We start from the raw sequence: 19,518 nt of genomic DNA on the forward strand, positions 1-19,518 counted from the left end.
TGGTCAAAAGAAGCAAACTTTGGGTCACTTTTGGTTTTTCTTCAAATCCTTTTTGGAGTTAGCAAGATCAGAGTTCCAAATTAAACCCAAGCATGCATGCACATGCTGGGCACGTGCACACAGACACACACACACACCTCCCACACCTCTAATTCAGGTAACCATTATGTATTGGTTATGCTAATACTTTGAATGGGATTTTCCCACCGATTTTCATTTCTATATAATTTCTCATTCTGAAAGTATTCTGGGTTTTTTGTTTGTTTGTTTGTTTTGTTTTGTTTTGAGACAGAGTCTCACTCTGTTGCCCAAGCTGGAGTGCAGTGGCACGATCTTGGCTCACTGCAACTTCCGTCTCCTAGGTTCAAGCGATTCTACTGCCTCAGTCTCCCAAGTAATTGGGATTACAGGCATGTGCCATCACGCCTGGCTAATTTTTGTAGTTTTAGTAGAGACAGGGTTATTTCATGTTGGCTGGGCTGGTCTTGAACTCCTGACTTCAGGTGATCCGCCTGCCTTGGCCTCCCGAAGTGCTGGGATTACAGGCATGAGTCACCGCGCCAGGCCTGTTTTTTTTGTTTTTTTTTGTTTTTGAGATGGAATTTCGCTCTTGTTGCCCAGGCTGGAGTGCAATGGCGCCATCTTGACTCACTGCAACCTCCGCCGCCTGGGTTCAAGTGATTCTCCTGCCTGAGCCTCCCTAGTAGCTGGGATTACAGGCATGTGCCACCACGCCTGTAATGGCGTGTAATGATGAGGTTTCTCCATGTTGGTCAGTCTGGTCTCAATCTCCTGACCTCAGGTGATCCTGCCACCTTGGCCTCCCAAAGTGCTGGGATTACAGGCATGAACCACCACACCCGGCCTTGTTTTAAAAATAATAAATTGTGGCCGGGCATGGTGGCTCATGCCTGTAATCCCAGCACTTTGGGAGGCCGAGATGGGCGGATCACGAGGTCAGGAGATCGAGACCATCCTGGCTAACATGGTGAAACCCCGTCTCTACTAAAAAATACAAAAAACAAAATTGGCTAGGCGTGGTGGCAGGCGCCTGTAGTTCCAGCTACTCGGGAGGCTGAGGCAGGAGAATGGCGTGAACCCAGGAGGTGGAGCTTGCAGTGAGCCAAGACTGCGCCACTGCACTCCAGCCTGGGCAACAGTGGAGCGAGACTCCATCTCAGAAAATAAGTAAATAAATAAATTGTTTTAATTTACATTGATTATGGGAGAAAATATATGGGGAAGGCCGAGTGTGGTGGCTCACTCCTATAATCCCAGTACTTTGGGAGGCTGAGGCGGGTGGATCACTTGACGTTAGGAGTTCCAGACCAGCCTGGCCAACATTGGTGAAACCTTGTCTCTATTAAAAAACAAAACAAAACAAAACAAAAATTCCAGCCTGTACAACACAGAGAAACCCCATCTCAACTAAAATACAAAAAAAAAAAAATTAGCCGGGCATGGCGGCATGCGCCTGTAGTACCAGCTACTCGGAAGGTTGAGACAGGAAAATTAATTGAACCCAGGAGGCGGAGACTGCAGTGAGTCGAGATCGCACCACTGTACTCCAGCCTGGGCAACAAAGCAAGACTCCGTCTCCAAAAAAAAAAAAAAAATTAGCTGGGCATGGTGGCATGTGCCTGTAGTCCCAGCCACTCGGGAGGCTGAGGCAGAAGAATTGCTTGAACCCAGGAGTCGGAGGTTGCAGTGGGCCAAGATCATGCCACTGCACTCCAGTCTGGACGACAGAGTGAGACTCTGTCTCAAAAAAAAAAAAATTCTTTTTTAAATGAATGTTAATAAAATATTTAAAACTAGGAAAATATGAAGAGATGAAGGTCTTAAGATGTATAGTGTATGTATCAAGAAGAAGGAAAAGGTGTCAATGAGCATATTGTAGTGCAAACGAGAAGTGATGTTTTTTACAGTGTGGATAGTTAAGATAATTAGGATGTGACTGTCGGCCAGGCATGGTAGCTCACACCTGTAATCCTAGCACTTTGGGAGGCCAGGGCAAGAGGATCACTTGAGCCCAGGAGTTCGAGACCAGCCTAGGGAACATGGCAAAATCCCCCTCTACAAAAAAATACAAAAATTAGCCAGGAGTGGTGGTGCGTTCCTGTAGTCCCAGCTACTCTGAGGCCAAGGTGGGAGGAGTACCTGAGCCCAGGGAGGGCTCAAGGCTACAGTGAGCCATGTTCACATTACTGTACTCCAGCCTAGGTGACAGAGTGAGACCCTGTGTAAAAAAAAAAAAAAAAAAAAAAAAAAAGACAAGATTGTCATTCCAAACATCATGGATTTTTTTTTTTTTAATTGAATTTGAGACAGAGTCTCGGTGTCACCCGGGCTGGAGTGCAGTGGAACAATCTTGGCTCACTGCAACCACTGCCTCCCAGGTTCAAGCCATTCTCCTGCCTCAGCCTCCCTCCTGCCTCAGCCTCCTGAGTAGCTGAGACTACAGGCACATGCTACTACGAGTGGCTAATTTTTATATTTTTAGTAAAGACGGGGTTTCACCATATTGACCAGGCTGGTCTCGAACTCCCAACCTCAGGTGGTCTGCCTGCCTCAGCCTCCCAGAGTGCTGAGATTACAGGCGTGAGCTACTGTGCCTGGCCCAAACATCATGAATTTGTGGATGATGAAAGTGAACTTATTCTTGGAGAAGTCAAGCCTTTTCTTCCTCAGTGACACTTTAAGGTATAGAGAATGACTCTTCTTCAAAGAGAATAGAGTTCATTGTGATTGTAGGAAATGAAATTTTAGCTTTGGTGCAGATATGGCTTTTTTTTTTTTTTAATCAGAAGCGTCCCTGTTCATTTCTTCTGAGTATAGAACAGACTTGGTGTGTTGGGTTAGGAGTTGTTTTGTTGTTGTTGTTTGTTTGTTTGTTTGTTTCTTGAGACAGAGTCTTGCTCTGTTGTCCAGGCTGGAGTGCAGTGGCATGCGATCTCGGCTCACTGCAACCTCCACCTCCTGGGTTCAAGTGATTCTCCTGCCTCAGCCTCCGGAGTAGGTGGGATTATAGACGTGTGCCACCACACCCGGCACACGGTATTTTTAGTTGAGATGGGGTTTCACCATATCGGCCAGGCTGGTCTTGAACTCCTTGCCTTGGCCTCCCAAAGTGCTAGGGTTACAGGTGTGAGCCACCGCGCCCGGCCTGTTATTTTGAAGAAATGCCATTTACTTTTTTTGGCTCCTCAGGTATTACCTGTACAACCTGATGTTCCAGACGTGGAAGACCTATGTGCGTCAGCAGCAGGAGATGAGGAACAAGTACATTAGAGCCGAGGTTCATGGTGAGAAAAAGAAGTCCATGTCTGAAGAAGATGCCCACATTTACTTTGCAGAAGGTCATAGGAAGGACAAACACATTGTCTCAGAGAGAGAGGAACTCTAGGCCAAAGGAAGATTTGTTTGATTCTCTTTCATATTTTTCAGAAAGTGTGATCTCTGAGTGGGCACCTGTATGATTGATCCCTATGGTTTTCTCCATATGGCATGGTTTGAGCCCTTAAAACTCATTTAATCAGAATTTGTGTGAACTGGCTGTTCCTGGCCTGCTGGTTCAGTGGGCTGGCTGTGACTCTCCTGTGGCACCTGGGGCTGCCATCTATCTTGCTGCGTCAAGTTGCCCAGAGACTCTGGAGCAGAGCTGCAGTGCTCTTTTCTGATCTGCTTTGCTCAAGTTGTCCCTTAGTGATACTGTGGCCACTTTAGGTCTGGTCAGAGTCTGGTTTCTCTTGTGAATTGAGCCCAGAAACACATGGAGAGTCTAAGGGAAAAAGACCTAGAGTTTCAAAATGATAATACAGGCTGCATTAGCAGCAGAATGTCCTAAAGGTAGCTCAAACTCTGCAAGTCACAAGTACAACCTGTCAACTCCCCTACCACTTACACCTGCTGTTCCTTTGACTCTTCTGTCTAGGAAGACTTACTTAGGAATGGTGTCCATTCCTCATGCCTCATGTCATCACTTACCTAATCTTTTAAGAAGGCCCTCTGAGGCATCACTTGCAATCATCGTTGCATTGCTACTGCCTGAGAGTAATCCTCATCTTTTTCCCAGAGTGTTGTAAGTGCCACTTCATTAATCTCCCTCATTTATTTTTTCGTGCTTCTCATTGTACACATAGCTGCAAGAGTGGTAAGACATAGATAAGATCATGACACTCCTTTACGTAAAGTTAACCCTGCTTGGTATGTCGTACAAGGTCTTCATTTCTTCTGCTTTGCACCCTCTGCCCTTGACACACTGGATGTGCACTTCTTTATCTTTCCATCTTTGTCCCTGTAGTTCTTCCTTCAGGCCCATTTAAATGTGTAGCTTTCCTTGATCTCCCCCAGCCCAGTGATCTTTCCCCTGTCTGTATTCCCAAAGTATGAGAAGCTCTTACCCAAGCCTCATGATTACTGCACCAAATGCACTGTTTCACTGGTAAGTAACTTACGCTGTTTGTTGTTTATTTTTTTAATACATACAGTAAGATTCATTCTTTTTGAAGTTCAGTTCTAAGACTTTGATACACACTACCACATACAGCTAAATTTTTGTATTTTTGGTAGAGATGGGCTTTTGCCATGTTGCCCAGGCTGGTTTCAAACTCCTGGACTAAAGCAATCCACCTGCCTCGCTCTCCCAAAGTGCTGGCAATACAGGTGTGAGCCACTGTGCCTGGCCTTAAGTTTAATTCTATAAGAAACTGGCAAGGTTTTTTATCATGGCTGTGCCATTTTGCATTCCCACCAGTAATTCACGAGAGTTCTACTTGCTCTGCATCCTCTTGACCTCTTTGTATTGTCATTAAAATTTTTTCTTTGGCCATACTAATAGGTGTATACAGGCATTTAATTGTGGGTTTTTAAAAATTGGTGTTACATGAGTATACTGCATAATGATGGAGATTTGACTGTCCACTACCCAAATAGTGAACGTTGTACATGATAGGTAATTTTTCAACCCTTGGGCCTCTTCCACCCTCCCTTCCCCTCGTTTGGAGTCCCCAGTGTCTATTATCTCCACCTTTATGTCTGTGTGTACCAACAGTTTAGCTCCCGCTTATAAGTGAGAATATGTGGTATTTGATTTTCTGTTTCTGAGTTAGTTCACTTAGGATAATGGCCTCCAGCTCCATCCATGTTGGTGCAAAGGACATGATTTCATTCTTTTTTATGGCTGGGTGGTATTCCATGGTGTGTATTTTCTTTCTTTTTTTTTTATTTGAGACTGTCTCACTCTGTCACCCAGGCTGGAGTGCAGTGGTGTGATCTCGGCTCACTGCAGCCTCCACCTCCTGGGTTCAAGTGTTGCTTCTGCCTCAGCCTCTCAAGTACCTGGGACTACAGGCGTGTGCCACCATGCCCAACTAATTTTTGTATTTTTAGTAGAGACAAGGTTTCACTATATTGGCCAGGCTGGTCTCAAACTCCTGACCTCAGTGATCTGCCTGCCTCGGCCTCCCAAAGTACTGAGATTGCAGGCATGAGCCACCACGCCCGGCTGTGGTGTATATTTTCTGTATCTGTTGATGGATGCTGAGGTTGATTCCATGACTTTGCTGTTGAGAATAGTGCTGCAGTGAACATATGAGAGCAGGTGTCTTTTTAATATAATAATTTCTCTTCGTTTGGGTAGATTCCCGCTAGTGGGATTGCTGGGTCGAATGGTGGTTCTGTTTTTAGTTCTTTGAGAAATCTCCATACTGTTTTCCATAGAGGTTCAACTAATTTATATTCCCACCACCAGTGTGTTAAGTGTTCCCTTTCTCCACGTGCATGCCAACATCTGTTATTAAACTTTTTTTTTTTAAAGACAGGGGATGTCTTGCTGTGTCACCCAGGCTGGAGTGCAGTGGCTTGGTCATAGCTCACTGCAGCCTTGACTTCCTGGGCCAAGTAATCCTCCCACCTCAGACTCCTGAGTAGCTGGGACCGTAGGCATGTGCTACCACACCTGGCTAACTTTTTATATGTTATGGAGACAGGGTCTGGCTATGTTGCCCAAGCTGGTCTTGGACCCCTGGGCTCCAGTGATTCTCCTTCCTCAGCCTCCAAAAGTGCTAGGATTACAAGCATAAGCCACTGCACCCAGCCTAACTTTTTAATAACAGTCGTTCTGACTAGTGTAAGATGATATCTCATTGTGGTTTTAGTTTGCATTTCTCTGATAATTAGTGATGTTGAGTATCTTTTCCTGTGCTTATTTGCTATTTATATCTGTTTGGTGAAGTATCTGTTCATGATCTTTTGTCCTTTTAAATTGGGTTGTTTGTGTTCTTTTTGAGATTTGAAAGTTTTTTGTTTGTTTGGTTGGTTTGGTTTTTTTTGACACGGAATCTCACTCTTGCCCAGGCTGGAGTGCAGTGGCGCAATCTCGGCTCACTGCAACCTCGACCTCCCGGGTTTAAGTGATTCTCCCACCTTAGCCTCCCGAGTAGCTGGGACTACATGGTGCGCTACCATGCCCAGCTAATTTTTGTATTTTTTTTTTTTTTTTTTTTTTCAGTAGAGACAGGGTTTCACCATGTTAGCCAGGGTGATCTGGAACTCCTGACCTCAGGGGATCCACCTGCCTCGGCCTCCCAAAGTGCTGGGACCACAGGGGTGAGCCACCAAGCCCAGCTGGTTTTTTAAAATATGTATTCTGTTATAAGCATTTTGTCAAAGCATGATTTGCTATGTTTTCTCCTAGTCTGTGACTTGTCTTTTCATTCTCTTAACAGTATCTTTTGCAGAGGAAAAGTTTTTAATTTTGATGAAGTCCATTCTATTTTTTTTTAATGGATTATGTTTTTTTTTTTTTTTTTTTTTTTTTTTTTTGCGAGAGTCCCACTGTTGCCCAGGTTGGAGTGCAGTGGTGTGAGGATAACCCATTGCAGCCTGGAACTCCTAGGCTCTGACCTCAGCCTCCCAAGTAGCTGGGACTACAGACAATGCCCCACCATACCTGGCTAAGTTTTTTATATTTTACAGAGATGGGGGTCTTGCTTTGTTGCCCAGGCTGGTCTGAAACTCCTGGCCTCAAGCAGTTCTCCCACTTCGGCTTCCCAAAGCCCTGGGATTACAGTCATGAGCCACTGTGCCCAGCTGGATTATATTTTTTCATATCCTATCTTAGATGTCATCTCTAAGAACTTTGCCTTAACCCAGGGTCACAAAGATTTCCTCTTATGTTTTCTCCTAAACATTCTGTAGTTTTACATATGGATCTTGTATATCCTGCATCCTTGCTAAGTTAATTTATTATTTCTTTTTCTTTTTTCTTTTTTTTAAATTTTGAGATGGAGTCTCGCTCTATTGCCCAGGCTGGAGTGCAGTGGCACGATCTCGGCTCACCGCAAGCTCCACCTCCCGGATTCACGCCATTCTCCTACCTCAGCCTCCCAATTAGCTGGGACTACAGGTGCCCACCACCCCGCCCGGCTAATTTTTTGTATTTTTAATAGAGACGGGATTTCACAGTGTTAGCCAGGATGGTCTTGATCTCCTGACCTCGTGATCCGCCCACCTCGGCCTCCCAAAGTGCTGGGATTACAGGCTTGAGCCACTGCGCCCAGCCTTTTTTTTTTTTTTTCAGATGGAGCCTCACTTTGTCACCCAGGATGGAGTGCAGAGTGGCGTGATCTCGGCTCACTGCAGCCTCTGCCTCCTGGGTTCAAGCAATTATCTTGCCTCAGACTACTGAGTAGCTGGGAGTAAAGGTACCTGCCACCACGCCCGGCTAATTTTTTTTTTGTATTTTTAGTAGAGACATTTACTGCTATAAAGTTCTCTTAAACACTAACTATATTACACGAATTTTAATAAGTTATATTTCTGTTTTCATTCAGTAAAAACTTGTTTTCTGATTTTCCCTGAGACCTCATCTTTGCCCCACAGATTATTTAGAAGTGTGTTTAGTTTTCTAATATTTGGGAGTTTCCCAATATCTTTCTGTTAAGGATTTCTAGTTTATTCTATTATTGTCAGAGAACAAGACTTAGTATGATTTCAGTTCCTTTATTTTTGTTAAGGTTTGTTCTGTGGCCCCAAATATGCTCTATCTTGTAAATGTTCTATATTTACTTGAAGAATGTACATTCTGCTGTCTTATTTATAGTTACAGTGAATCTAGCTAGATATTATGGAATAGAAGGAAAAAGTCACTTGGATGACTTTTTTATAGGCGGTGGCTCACGCCTATAATCCCAGCACTTTGGGAGGCTGAGGTGGGAAGATTGCTTGGGCCCAGGAGTTCGAGACCAGCCCAAGCAACATGGCAAAACCTCATCTCTACAAAAAAATACAAAAATTAGCCAGGTGTGGTGGTGCATGCCTGCAGTCCCAGCTACTCAAGAGGCAAGAGTTATTTCTGACATAAGACAAGTTATTTCAGGCCATTCCCCTAGACCTCAGGGAGTGTCCATTCACTCTTGGACTGTTAAATGAAAAGTTTGCAAGTACTTTTAGGCCTTAAGGAAGCATGGTTCTCAGTTGTCACGTGCATCAGAATCATGGCAGAGACAGTTAATGAGATTCCTGTGTTCCATACTCTGGAAAGAGCAGTTAGTGTTTATTTTAGATATTTTTCATAGTTAAATCATCTCATTTACACTTTCCAAACATAACTCTGAGAGAGGCACCATTTTACAGATGAGGAACTTGTATGAGATTAGGTGTGTAATAAATGAAAGGGCCAGTAAGTCTGGCTTGTCTTACTCAGGATCCCAAACTCTAAACCACAGCACTATACTAGTCCTGATTACCTGAAGTATGCTGATTCCTGAGGTCCACAGTGAAACCAAGGAAGATACATGTTAAATTCTCCTTCGTATGTTGATTTGTCTTGTCAACAACTGTGAAATATATAGTTATAGTCCTGTCGACTACATCTTGGAGGCTGTCCTAAAAATGATTTATATAATTTTATTTTCTCCTTTGTCTTCTAAAAAGAAGAGAAATTTGCTTATAAGTGGTAATTTACTTATTAGTGGTGACTTTCATAATGAAAATACAATTTACCACAAAGGGAGACCTGTGGGCCATTGCATCTTCCATATCTAGTAAATTATCTTTTCTTTACTAAAAAGAGTGAGCTTGGAGTCAAACAGCAAGTTTTATATCATGATTTCTTCTTCTTTAGCTTTGTATTATGGAAAACTTTAAATATCTATACAATTGAAATTTTTTTTTCTTTTCTTTTTTTTTTTTTTGAGACGGAGTCTTGCTCTGTCGCCCAGGCTAGAGTGCAATGGCGTGATCTCAGCTCACTGCAACCTCTCCCTCCCAGGTTTAGCAATTCTCCTGCCTCAGCCTCCTGAGTAGCTGGGACTACAGGCGCACGCCACCACACCTGGCTAATTTTTGTACTTTTAGTAGAGATGGGGTTTCACCACGTTGGTCAGGTTGGTCTCGAACTCCTGACCTCAGGTGATCTGCCCATCTCGGCCTTCCAAAGTGCTGGGATTACAGGCGTGAGCCACTGTGCCCAGACTGAAAGATATTTAATAGAATAATGAACCTCCATGTATCCATTACCCAGCTTTGATTATCACTCATGCCATTTTTGTTAGATCCATCTCTCCACTTCTTTGCTGCCTGTTTATTCATATCATTTCGTCTAAAAATTGCAGAGTATATCTATAGAAATAAGCGCTTTTAAAGCAAAGGGTTTTTGAGCAGTTCAGTACATGGGTTTTCCTTTAAATGCTTTGTAAATGTCGTTACTTGCACAGAGCCTTCATGTGTTCTTGCACTCTAATTAATTTTCTAGTGCTTCACAACTTTTCCAGCAGGGGTCACTTGTAGGCTGGAGGGATTTAGGTATTCAAAGGAGAGCCCTTGAGCTTTTATCATAACCCAGAGTAATCCATCTCTCCCCATGCCTTTTGAAAAATCTCTTTGGTGAATCTAGATGCAAAGCAAAAGATGCGACAGGCCTGGAAGTCCTGGTTGATCTACGTGGTTGTTCGTAGGACCAAACTTCAGATGCAGACTACAGCTCTGGAGTTTAGGCAACGGATTATCTTACGGTGAGTCTGCTCAACTGCCCTACAAAGTACCAGCCATCATTTTACCTCATCAGCTTTATGGTGCTGGAAAACAGCATAAAACCTCACCTTAAAACAATGGTTTGTATTTGGTTTTATTTTTGTGTTTTGTTTTTTTCGAGATAGGGTCTTACTCTGTCACCCAGGTTGGAGTGTAGTGGCCCAATCTCAGCTTACTGCAACTTCCACCTCCCAGGTTCAAGCAGTCCTTCCACCTCAGCCTCCCAAGTAGCTAGGACTACAGGCATGCGCCACTATGCCCAGCTAATGTTTTTTTTTTTTTCATTTTTTTGTAGAGGCGAGGTTTTATCATGTTTCCCAGGCTGGTCTTGAGTTCGTGGGCTCAAGCGATCTGCCCACCTCAGCCTCCCAAAGTGCTGGGATTATAGGCATGAGCCACCATGCCCCCTTCCCACCTTGAAACAATATTTTGAACATAGTTGATGCCTAATAAAGATTTACTGATAACTTGTTTATAAGATCGATTTTCACATAATCATAATTAACATGAATTGAGTGCTTACTGTGTTCTAAACCCTGTGTTAAGTTTGTGTGTGCATGTGTTAATTTTGTAATGTAAAGTATCTTATTTAACCCTTACCGTAAACTGTAAGTACCATTATTGTACAGATTAAGATGTACAATAAGGCTCAGAGAGGTTGAGTAACTTGCCTAGCACATACAGGTTGTAATTGGCAAAACTAGGGCTCACCCACCCATGCTCTTAACTGGTCTTCTGCATTGCAGCCCATCAGCATTGTAGACATACTGGAAGAACATGAATTAGTCCACTTTTATAGCCAGATATGTAACAATGAGCTGCATTATCATGGGACAGATTTCACTCTATGTTGTCTGTAGTTGTCCACTGGTGTCCTGAATGGTAATATATTAATAATTCACTTCCTGCCTGAAAGTTGGGTATTGAACAAAGTATGGATAATAGGAGAGGCTTTGCAGCTGCACTTACTTGGGTTTGAATCCCTCTTCCAACCTGTATTATTGGGTCATTTCATCTCTTCAGCTCTTATTTTCCTCATCTGTGAAATAGTTACACCATACTTAAAGGTTTGTCATCAGGAATAAATAAAGTAATATCTGTAAAGTATTTAACAGTGTCCAGAAAATCAGTGGACATAAAGAAGTTATTTAAGTAGAAATAAAATAGGCAGAGTGCAGTAGTTCAAACCTGTAATCCCAACACTTTGGGAGGCTAAGATGGGAGGCTTGCTTGAGGCCGGGAGTTTGAGACCAGCCTGGGCAACAAAGCCAAGACCCTATCTCTACACACAAAAAATTTTTTTAAATAATTAAAATCATTACTTAAAATGTATTTAGCAAGTATTTCAAAATGCCTAATTAGTATGCAGTTTTACTTGAGTCTGAGTGAATTTTTTTTTTTTTTTTATGAGATGGAGTCTCACACTGTTCCCCAGGCTGGAGTGCAGTGGTGTGATCTTGGCTCACTGCAACCTTCTGGGTTCAAGCCTTCCAGGTTCAAGCGATTCTTCTGCCTTGGCCTCTCGAGTAGCTGGGATTACAGGCGCCTGCCACCATGCCCAGCTAATTTTTTGTATTTTTACTAGAGGCAGGGTTTCACCATGTTGGCCAGCCTTGTCTCGAACTCCTGACCTCATGATTCACCGGCCTCAGCCTCTCCAAGTGCTGGGATTCCAGGCATGAGCCACCGCGCCTGGCCTGAGTGATATTTTTATATAATTAATTCATTTACTCAACGTACATTTATTTATTTATTTGAGACAGAGTCTCACTGTTTCGTCCAGGCTGGAGTGCCATGGCACAATCTTGGCTGACTGCAAGCTCTGCTTCCTGGGTTCAAGTGATTCTCCTGCCTCAGCCTCCCAAGTAACTGGGATTACACCATACCTAGCTAATTTTTTGTATTTTTAGTAGAGATGGGGTTTCACCACATTGGCCAGGCTGGTCTTGAACTCCTGACCTCAGATGATCCACCCGCCTCGGCTTCCCAAAGTGCTGAGATTATAGGCATGAGCCACCGGGCCCAGCCTATTTATTGAGGGTTTAAAATGTTCTTGGTACTGGGCCAGGCACAGGGACTCATGCCTGTAATCCCAGCACTTTGGGAGGCTGAGGCTGGTGAATTACCTGAGGCCAGGAGTTTAAGACCAGCCTGGCCAACATAGTGAAACTGTCTCTACTAAAAAAATACAAAAGTTAGCCTGGTTTGATGGTGCACGCCTATAATCCCAGCTACTCGGGAGGCTGAGGCATGAGAACCGCTTGAACAAACAAGGCAGACGTTGCAGTGAGTCGAGATTGTGCCACTCCACTGCACCCTGGGCAACAGAGTGAGACTCTGTCTCGAAAAAATAAAAAAAATGGCTTCCGCGGGAGGCCTACACACCGCCAGTTGTGTTCCTGCTATGTCTCTAGTGATCCCTGAAAAGTTCCAGCGTATTTTGCGAATACTCAACAGCAACATCAACGGGCAGCAGAAAATAGGCTTTGCCATCACTGCCATTAAGGATGTGGGTTGACAGTACACTCATAGTGTTGAGGAAAGCTGACGTTGACCTCACCAAGTGGGCAGGAGAACTCACTGAGGATGAGATGGAACGTGTGATGACCATTATGCAGAATCCATGCCAGTACAAGATCCCAGACTGGTTCTTGAACAGACGGAAGGATGTAAAGGATGGAAAATATAGCCAGGTCCTAGCCAGTGGTCTGGACAAGAAGCTCCGTGCAGATGTGGAGCGACTGAAGAAGATTCAGGCCCATAGAGGACCGCACCACTTCTGGGGCCTTCGTGTCCGAGGCCAGCACACCAAGACCACTGGCCACCATGGCTGTACCATGGGCGGGTCCAAGAAGAAATAAGTCTGCAGGCCTTGTCTGTTAATAAGTAGTTTATATACCTAAAAAATATAAATAAAGTAATAAATAAGTAAAATGTTATTGGTACTGTATTGATGCTGGGGCTGTATTCAGGGAATTTGTGATTCCCTGGATGCATAAGAAGATAAGTGATAATGTGAGATAGCTTGAGGTTTTGCAGTGAGTGCTGCAAGTGAGCCTGGTCTAAGAGAAATCTTTGTAGGTTAGAGTGACCAGGAAAAGTGAGTGTTTCTGTAAAGCACAGGTTGTAAACTCTTATTTCCCCATGACTCTTTTCCTAGAGCAAATTCGAAAATTAGTAGGAAAAAAAAAACAAGACTGAAACAAAAGTCTGACCAGGATTCTAGGAAAGAAAAGGATACATACAAGACTAGAAATCTAAAAGCCACTTGATTGCAGATTATTTTGTGAAATCTCCTGATTTTCAAATGTTGGTAATACTCTTTTTTTTTTTTTTTTTTTGAGGTGGAGTCTCACTCTGTCACCCAGGCTGGAGTATAGTGGCACGATCTTGGCTCACAGCCACCTCTGCCTCCTGGGTTCAAGAGATTCTCCTGCCTCAGCCTCCCAAGTAGCAGGGATTACAGGCACACACCACCATGTCCAGCTAATTTTTTGTATTTTTAGTAGAGACGGGGTTTCACCATGATGGCCAAGCTGGTTTTGAACTCCTGACCTCAAGTAATCCACCTGCCTCAGCCTCCCAAAGTGCTAGGATTACAGGCGTGAGCCACCACGCCTGGCCTTTTTTTTTTTTTTCCCGAGATGGAGTCTCACTCTGTCACCCAGGCTAGAGTGCAGTGGCGTGATCTCAGCTCACTGCAACCTCTGCTTCCTGGGTTCAAGCTATTCTCCTGCCTCAGCCTCCCGAGTAGCTGGGATTACAGGAGCATGCCACTACCACCTGGCTATTTTTGTATTTTTAATAGAGACAGGGTTTCACTGTGTTGGCCAGGCTAGTCTTTTAACTCCTGACCTCAGGTAATCCACTCTCCTCGGCCTCCCAAAGTGCTGTGATTACAGGTGTAAGCCACCGTACCAGGCCATAACATATCTTTTAACAAATCAAACTGTGTAGGTCAAACAGAGCATGTCTGTGGTGTCTAAAGCAGGATCTGACCGTAGGAACCATAAGTTTCCAACCATTAATGGGCAGATCTGGGACTTTTTCTCAATTGTTTTGTTTTATTTTTTTCCCCAGCAGTGAATCTAGAGATGGTACTATGAAGGAGAGGACTAGAGCTGAGGGTCTGAGGCCCCACACTAACTGCTCCTCTCTTTCCTGAGTGGCTTTTTACTGATGGATTCCATCTTTGATTTGCTGTTTCACAGGGTGTGGTGGAGCACGTGGAGGCAGCGACTAGGACAGGTCCGTGTGAGCCGTGCCCTCCATGCCTCTGCTTTGAAGCACAGGGCCCTGAGCCTCCAGGTGCAGGTGAGTCCAGCAGACGTGGGATTTGGCATCCTCTGTCAGTGTTGTCAAGCCTCTCACCCACAGAGGGCAGTGCTGGGCCTTCCCTGCAGCTCAGGGCCTGAGAGGGGGTGGGGACAGAGGTAATCTGGAAGGCTGGGCTCTTCCAGAGGGAGGCTGCTGTTAGGAATAAAGTAGAGGCTTGTCCTAGATGAGCCTAGATCAGTGGCTTCCAGAGTGCTTCTGGTAATTGTGGAGCTGGAGAGGGATTTATGAATTAGTTATAAACATGTTTAGAGAAACAGCAGTATACTCTGATTTCCTCGTTGCTGTTTTCCTACAGCAAATCAGAAAATAATTGGGGCAGAAAAGAAACTTAAGACTGAAAAGAAAACCTGTCTTCCTTTTCTTTATAGTTTTGATTGTCTTAGAGTGTTCTTTTAGGCAAGCCACTAGCTTTTTTTGTCAATCATAAATGGCTAAGGCCTGTACTAAAACTTTCTTATCCTTTGACATATTCTCTGAATTCTTGTCATGTTTTTGTGTCTGCTGGGTACTTACAGAGCTGCCAAATAAGTTATAGGAAATAGAACAGAGAAGAGGAAAAAAAAAATTAGTGCCTGTTTCCAAATGTAGGAATAGTATCTTCTTATTCTAACAACAAATTGCATAGTCCATGTGAATACGTGCAGATCACATGCAAATAGCATATATAGTCATCTAGATCAGTGATCAGCAAACTGGCTCACAGGCCAAATTTGGCCTGCTTTCTGTTTTTGTAAATAAAGTTTTATTGGGATGCTGCTACACTCATTCATTTATATATCATCTGAGGCTGCTTTCAGATTACAAGAGCAGTGTAGGGTAGTTGTAACAGAGACCTTATGGTCTACAAAGACTAAACTATTTGTTTTCTGACCCTTTAAGAAAAAGTTTGCTGACCTCTGAACTTGTAAGGTCTTCTGAGGCAATAGCAAGGAAATAAGAGACACAGTTCTCGCCAATAATAATAACAGTACCAATAGCAGTAGCAACTGCAGCCTGAGTGACTGAGTTGGGGCCCTGTCTCAAAAAAAAAAAAAAAAAAGAAGTAGATTTTATTGTGGTCTTACTTGTGTTAGGTGCTAGACTAAGTGCTTTACGTGCATTATCTAATTTTCATAAACCTTTTTTAAAAGTCCCATATTATTGTTAAGGGAACCAGGAAGGTTAAATAACTTGAACTAGGGTCACATGTATAGTGAAGCTTAGAGCCAGGTTTTTTTATTTTTTTTTGATTTTTTGAGACAGAGTCTCGCTCTGTCACCCAGGCTGGAGTGGAGTGGCACAGTCTTGGCTCACTGCAAGCTCTGCCTCCTGGGTTCACGCCATCATCCTGCCTCAGCCTCCTGAGTAGCTGGGACTGCAGGTGCCCGCCACCACGCCCGGCTAATTTTTTGTATCTTTAGTAGAGACGGGGTTTCACCATGTTAGCCAGGATGGTCTTGATCTCCTGACCTTGTGATGGCCTGCATCGGCCTCCCAAAGTACTGGTATTACAGGCGTGAGCCACCACATCCGGCCGCTTGGAGCCAGGTTTTAACCTAAGCAGCCAGAAAGCTGCATCATCATCTTTTATATATATATATATATATGTTTTGAGACAGAGTATTGCTCGCTCTGTCACCCAGACTGGAGTGCAGTGGCGCGATCTTGCCTCACTGCAACCTCTGCCTCCCAGGTTCAAGCAATTCTCCTGCCTCAGCCTCCCAAGTAGCTGGGACTCAGACGCATGCCGCCACGCCTGGCTAATTTTTTGTATTTTAGTAGTGATGGGGTTTCACCGTGTTGCCCAGGGTGGTTGCTAACTCCTGAGCTCAGGCAATCTGCCTGCCTCAGCCTCCCAAAGTGCTGGGATTACAGGCGTGAACCACCGCGCCTGGCCTGCATCATTATCATAATCACCATGCAGTATTGTGCTGAATAGACTTGTAACCTCAGGAGGGAGATGGAACTGATAAATGGGAAAATGCTATAAATGCAGGGATACTGACTAAACTTATAGACTGACTGTGAATATAGGGAAACTAAACATAATGAGACTGATTTTCTGTCATCGGTGGACAACTGTGCTAGTTTTCTTCCCTTTCTAAGAGCCACTTTGAGAGGCCATAAACTCATTCTACTGATGCTACTGTTGCTCAGAACATGTTTAGAATTCCCCTTTTCTTGTTTGTTGTTGTTTGTTTTTTTGTTTTGAGACAGTCTCACTCTTTTGCCCAGGCTGGAGTGCAGTGGCACGATCTTGGCTCACTGCAACCCCTGCCTCCCGGGTTCAAGCGATTCTCCTGCCTCAGCCTCCCAAGTAGCTGGGATTACAGGCACGCGCCACCATGCCTGTCTAATTTTGTATTTTTGATAGAGACGGGGTTTTGCCATGTTGGCCAGGCTGGTCTCGAACTCCTGACCGCAAGTGATCCACCTGCCCCTCGGCCTCCCAAAGTGCTGGGATTACAGGGGTGAGCCACCACACCCAGCCTACACGTCTTAATCTACACAGCATCTCTATGCACTAGGCAGGTAAGACATCATGAAATATGTAAAATTTTAATTTTAATTTAAAATTTAAAATTAAATTTGGTATTTCAAACATAGAAACACATAAAATATAAAACACTTAGAAAAATATTAGCAGATAGGCCAGGCGCGGTGGCTCACACCTGTAATCCCAGCACTTTGGGAGGCTGAGGTGGGCGGATCATGAGGTCAGGAGATGGAGACCATCCTGGCTAACACGGTGAAACCCCGTCTCTACTAAAAATACAAAAAATTAGCCGGGCGTGGTGGTGGGTGCCTGTAGTCCCAGCTACTCAGGAGGCTGAGGCAGGAGAATGACATGAACCTGGGAGGCAGAGCTTGCAGTGAGCTGAGATCACGCCACTGCACTCCAGCCTGGGCGACAGAGCAAGACTCCATCTCAAAAAAAAAAAAAAAAAATTAGCAGCTAGCCAAGTACTCACCAGCCTCACCCAGATTTAAAAGGTGTTAGCATTTTCTATACTTGCAAAAAAAAAAAAATTAGCAGATAGCCAAGTACTCAACACCCTCACCCAGATTTAAAAGGTGTTAGCATTTTCTATACTTGCTCCAGAATTTTTTTTAAGTTATTTTTTGGGGGACAGGATCTTACTCTGCTGCCCAGTCTGGAGTGCAGTGGTACCATCATGGCTCACTGTAGTCTTGACCTCCCAGGCTTAAGTGATCCTCCCACCTCAGCCTCCCAAGTAGCTGAGAACACAGGCATGTGCTACCATGCCTGGCTAATATTTTTTTTTTTTCCCTTGTGGAGTCGAGGTCTCACCATGTTGCCCAGGCTGGTCTGAAACTCCTGAGCTCAAGTGATCCACCCGCCTCGGCCTCCCAAAGTGCTGGGATTACAGGCATGAGCCACCATGCCTGGCCCAGAATTTTTTTTTTTTTTTTTGAGACGGAGTCTTGCTCTGTCGCCCAGGCTGGAGTGCAGTATCGCGATGTTGGCTCACTGCAAGCTCCGCCTCCCGGGTTCACGTCATTCTCCTGCCTCAGCCTCCCAAGTAGCTGGGACTACAGGCGCCCGCCACAACGCCTGGCTAATTTTTTTTTTTTTTTGTATTTTTTAGTGGAGATGGGGTTTCACCATGTTAGCCAGGATGGTCTCGATCTCCTGACCTCGTGATCCGCCTGCCTTGGCTTCCCAAAGTGCTGGGATTACAGGCGTGAGCCACCGTGCCCGGCCCAGAATTTTTTAAAGTAACAAAATTTAATGGACACTGCCAAAGCTTTACCCTCCCTCCGTCCCTTCTACTGCCTCTCCTCCTTAGAGATAGCCACTCTTTTGATTCTGGTATGATTGTTCTCCTATATTCTTTTTTCTTATAAAAATATGTGCACATATCTGTAAAGAATAAACATGTGGTACACTCCTGTAGTCCCATCTACTCGGGAGGCTGTGGCAGGATGATCACTTGAGGTCAAGTGTTTGAGGCTAGCCTGGGCAATATAATGAGACCCCATCACTTAAAAAGGCGGGAGGGGTCACGGTGGCCTACACCTGAATACTAGGACTTTGGGAGGCCAAAATAAGAGGATCACTTGAGTTTAGGAGTTCAAGACCAGACTAGGCAACATAGTGAGACCCCATCTCTACAAAAAAAAAAAAAAAATTAGCTAGACGTGGTGGCGCATGCCTGTTGTCCCAGCTACTTGGGAGGCTTAGGTTGGAGGATCACTTGAACCTGGGAGGTCAAGGCTGCAGTGAGCCATTGATCATGCCACTGCACTCCAGCTTGGGCAACAGAGCAAGACCCTGTCTCAAAAATAAATAAATAAATAAGTAAATGGTATGGCTTTGTGTAGTTAGGACATTTATGAATGTTGTCATACTGTGCTTTGCAACTTGTTTTTTTAGTGCAACGGTATATTTTTGAGGTTTAGCCATGTGATTTCTTTCTTCCTTTTTTAAAATAGAGACAGGGTCTTTCTCTGTTGCCCAGGCTGTTCTTGAACTCACGGCCTCAAGCAGTTCTTACACCTTGGCTTCTTAAAGTGCTGGGATTACAGGCCTGAGCCACCATGCCTGGCCCTATCTATGTGGATAGACAGAGATCTATTAACTGTGTATATTATGCCATTGTATAAACAAGGCACCATTTATCTGCTTACTTACTGATGGACTGTTGACTTCCTCTGCTTTTTAGAATTACGAACAGTACTACCAAGAGCATTCTTTTTCTATTTTTTTTTTTTTTTTGAGACTCCGTGCAGTGGCACAATCTCAGCTCACTGCAATCTCCGCCTCCCAGGTTCAAGCAATTCTTCTGCCTCAGCTTCCCATGTAGCTGGGACTACAGGTGTGCTCCACCACATCCAGCTAATTATTGTATTTTTAGTAGAGATGGGGTTTCACCATGTTGGCCAGGCTGTCTTGAACTCCTTACCTCAAGTGATCCGCCTGCCTCTGCCTCCCAAAGTGTTGGGATTACAGGCGTGAGCCACCATGCCCGGCCCCCAGTTTCTTTTAATTATTCACGGATCTGTTTCTCGGCTCTGTCTTCCATTCATGTATTTGTCTATCCAGACCATACCAATGCCATACTGGTTTAGTTACGATTTGATGAAGCAGTAAGCAACAGTGTAGGTTCTTGAGTCAGACTGTCCAAGTGGAATTCTGCCTCT

The 19,518-nt window shown here is 44.3% G+C and overlaps 1 protein-coding gene and 1 pseudogene across 5 annotated transcripts in view, besides 1 other annotated feature; both read left to right on the forward strand.

Annotated features, from left to right (window-relative positions):
- Positions 1-19,518, forward strand: part of SFI1 (SFI1 centrin binding protein) — a 122,450-nt gene that overhangs the window by 50,905 nt on the left and 52,027 nt on the right. For all 5 annotated transcript variants that reach the window (NM_001258325.1, NM_001007467.3, NM_014775.4 and 2 more), the window contains 3 exons: positions 3,211-3,305; positions 9,899-10,016; positions 14,247-14,349. In NM_001258325.1, the coding sequence (NP_001245254.1) occupies positions 3,211-3,305; positions 9,899-10,016; positions 14,247-14,349 (316 nt within the window). The remainder of the gene's footprint in view (positions 1-3,210; positions 3,306-9,898; positions 10,017-14,246; positions 14,350-19,518) is intronic.
- Positions 353-412: an enhancer, noted in NCBI's record as "active region_18862". NCBI's record gives its function as "activates an Ori minimal core promoter by ATAC-STARR-seq in GM12878 lymphoblastoid cells {active_cell/tissue: GM12878}" and the evidence as "EXISTENCE:reporter gene assay evidence [ECO:0000049][PMID:35858748]".
- RPS18P14 (ribosomal protein S18 pseudogene 14) lies at positions 12,399-12,937 on the forward strand (annotated as a pseudogene).

This window comes from Homo sapiens, chromosome 22, assembly GCF_000001405.40.
Source record: "Homo sapiens chromosome 22, GRCh38.p14 Primary Assembly".
Lineage (NCBI taxonomy): Eukaryota > Metazoa > Chordata > Mammalia > Primates > Hominidae > Homo > Homo sapiens.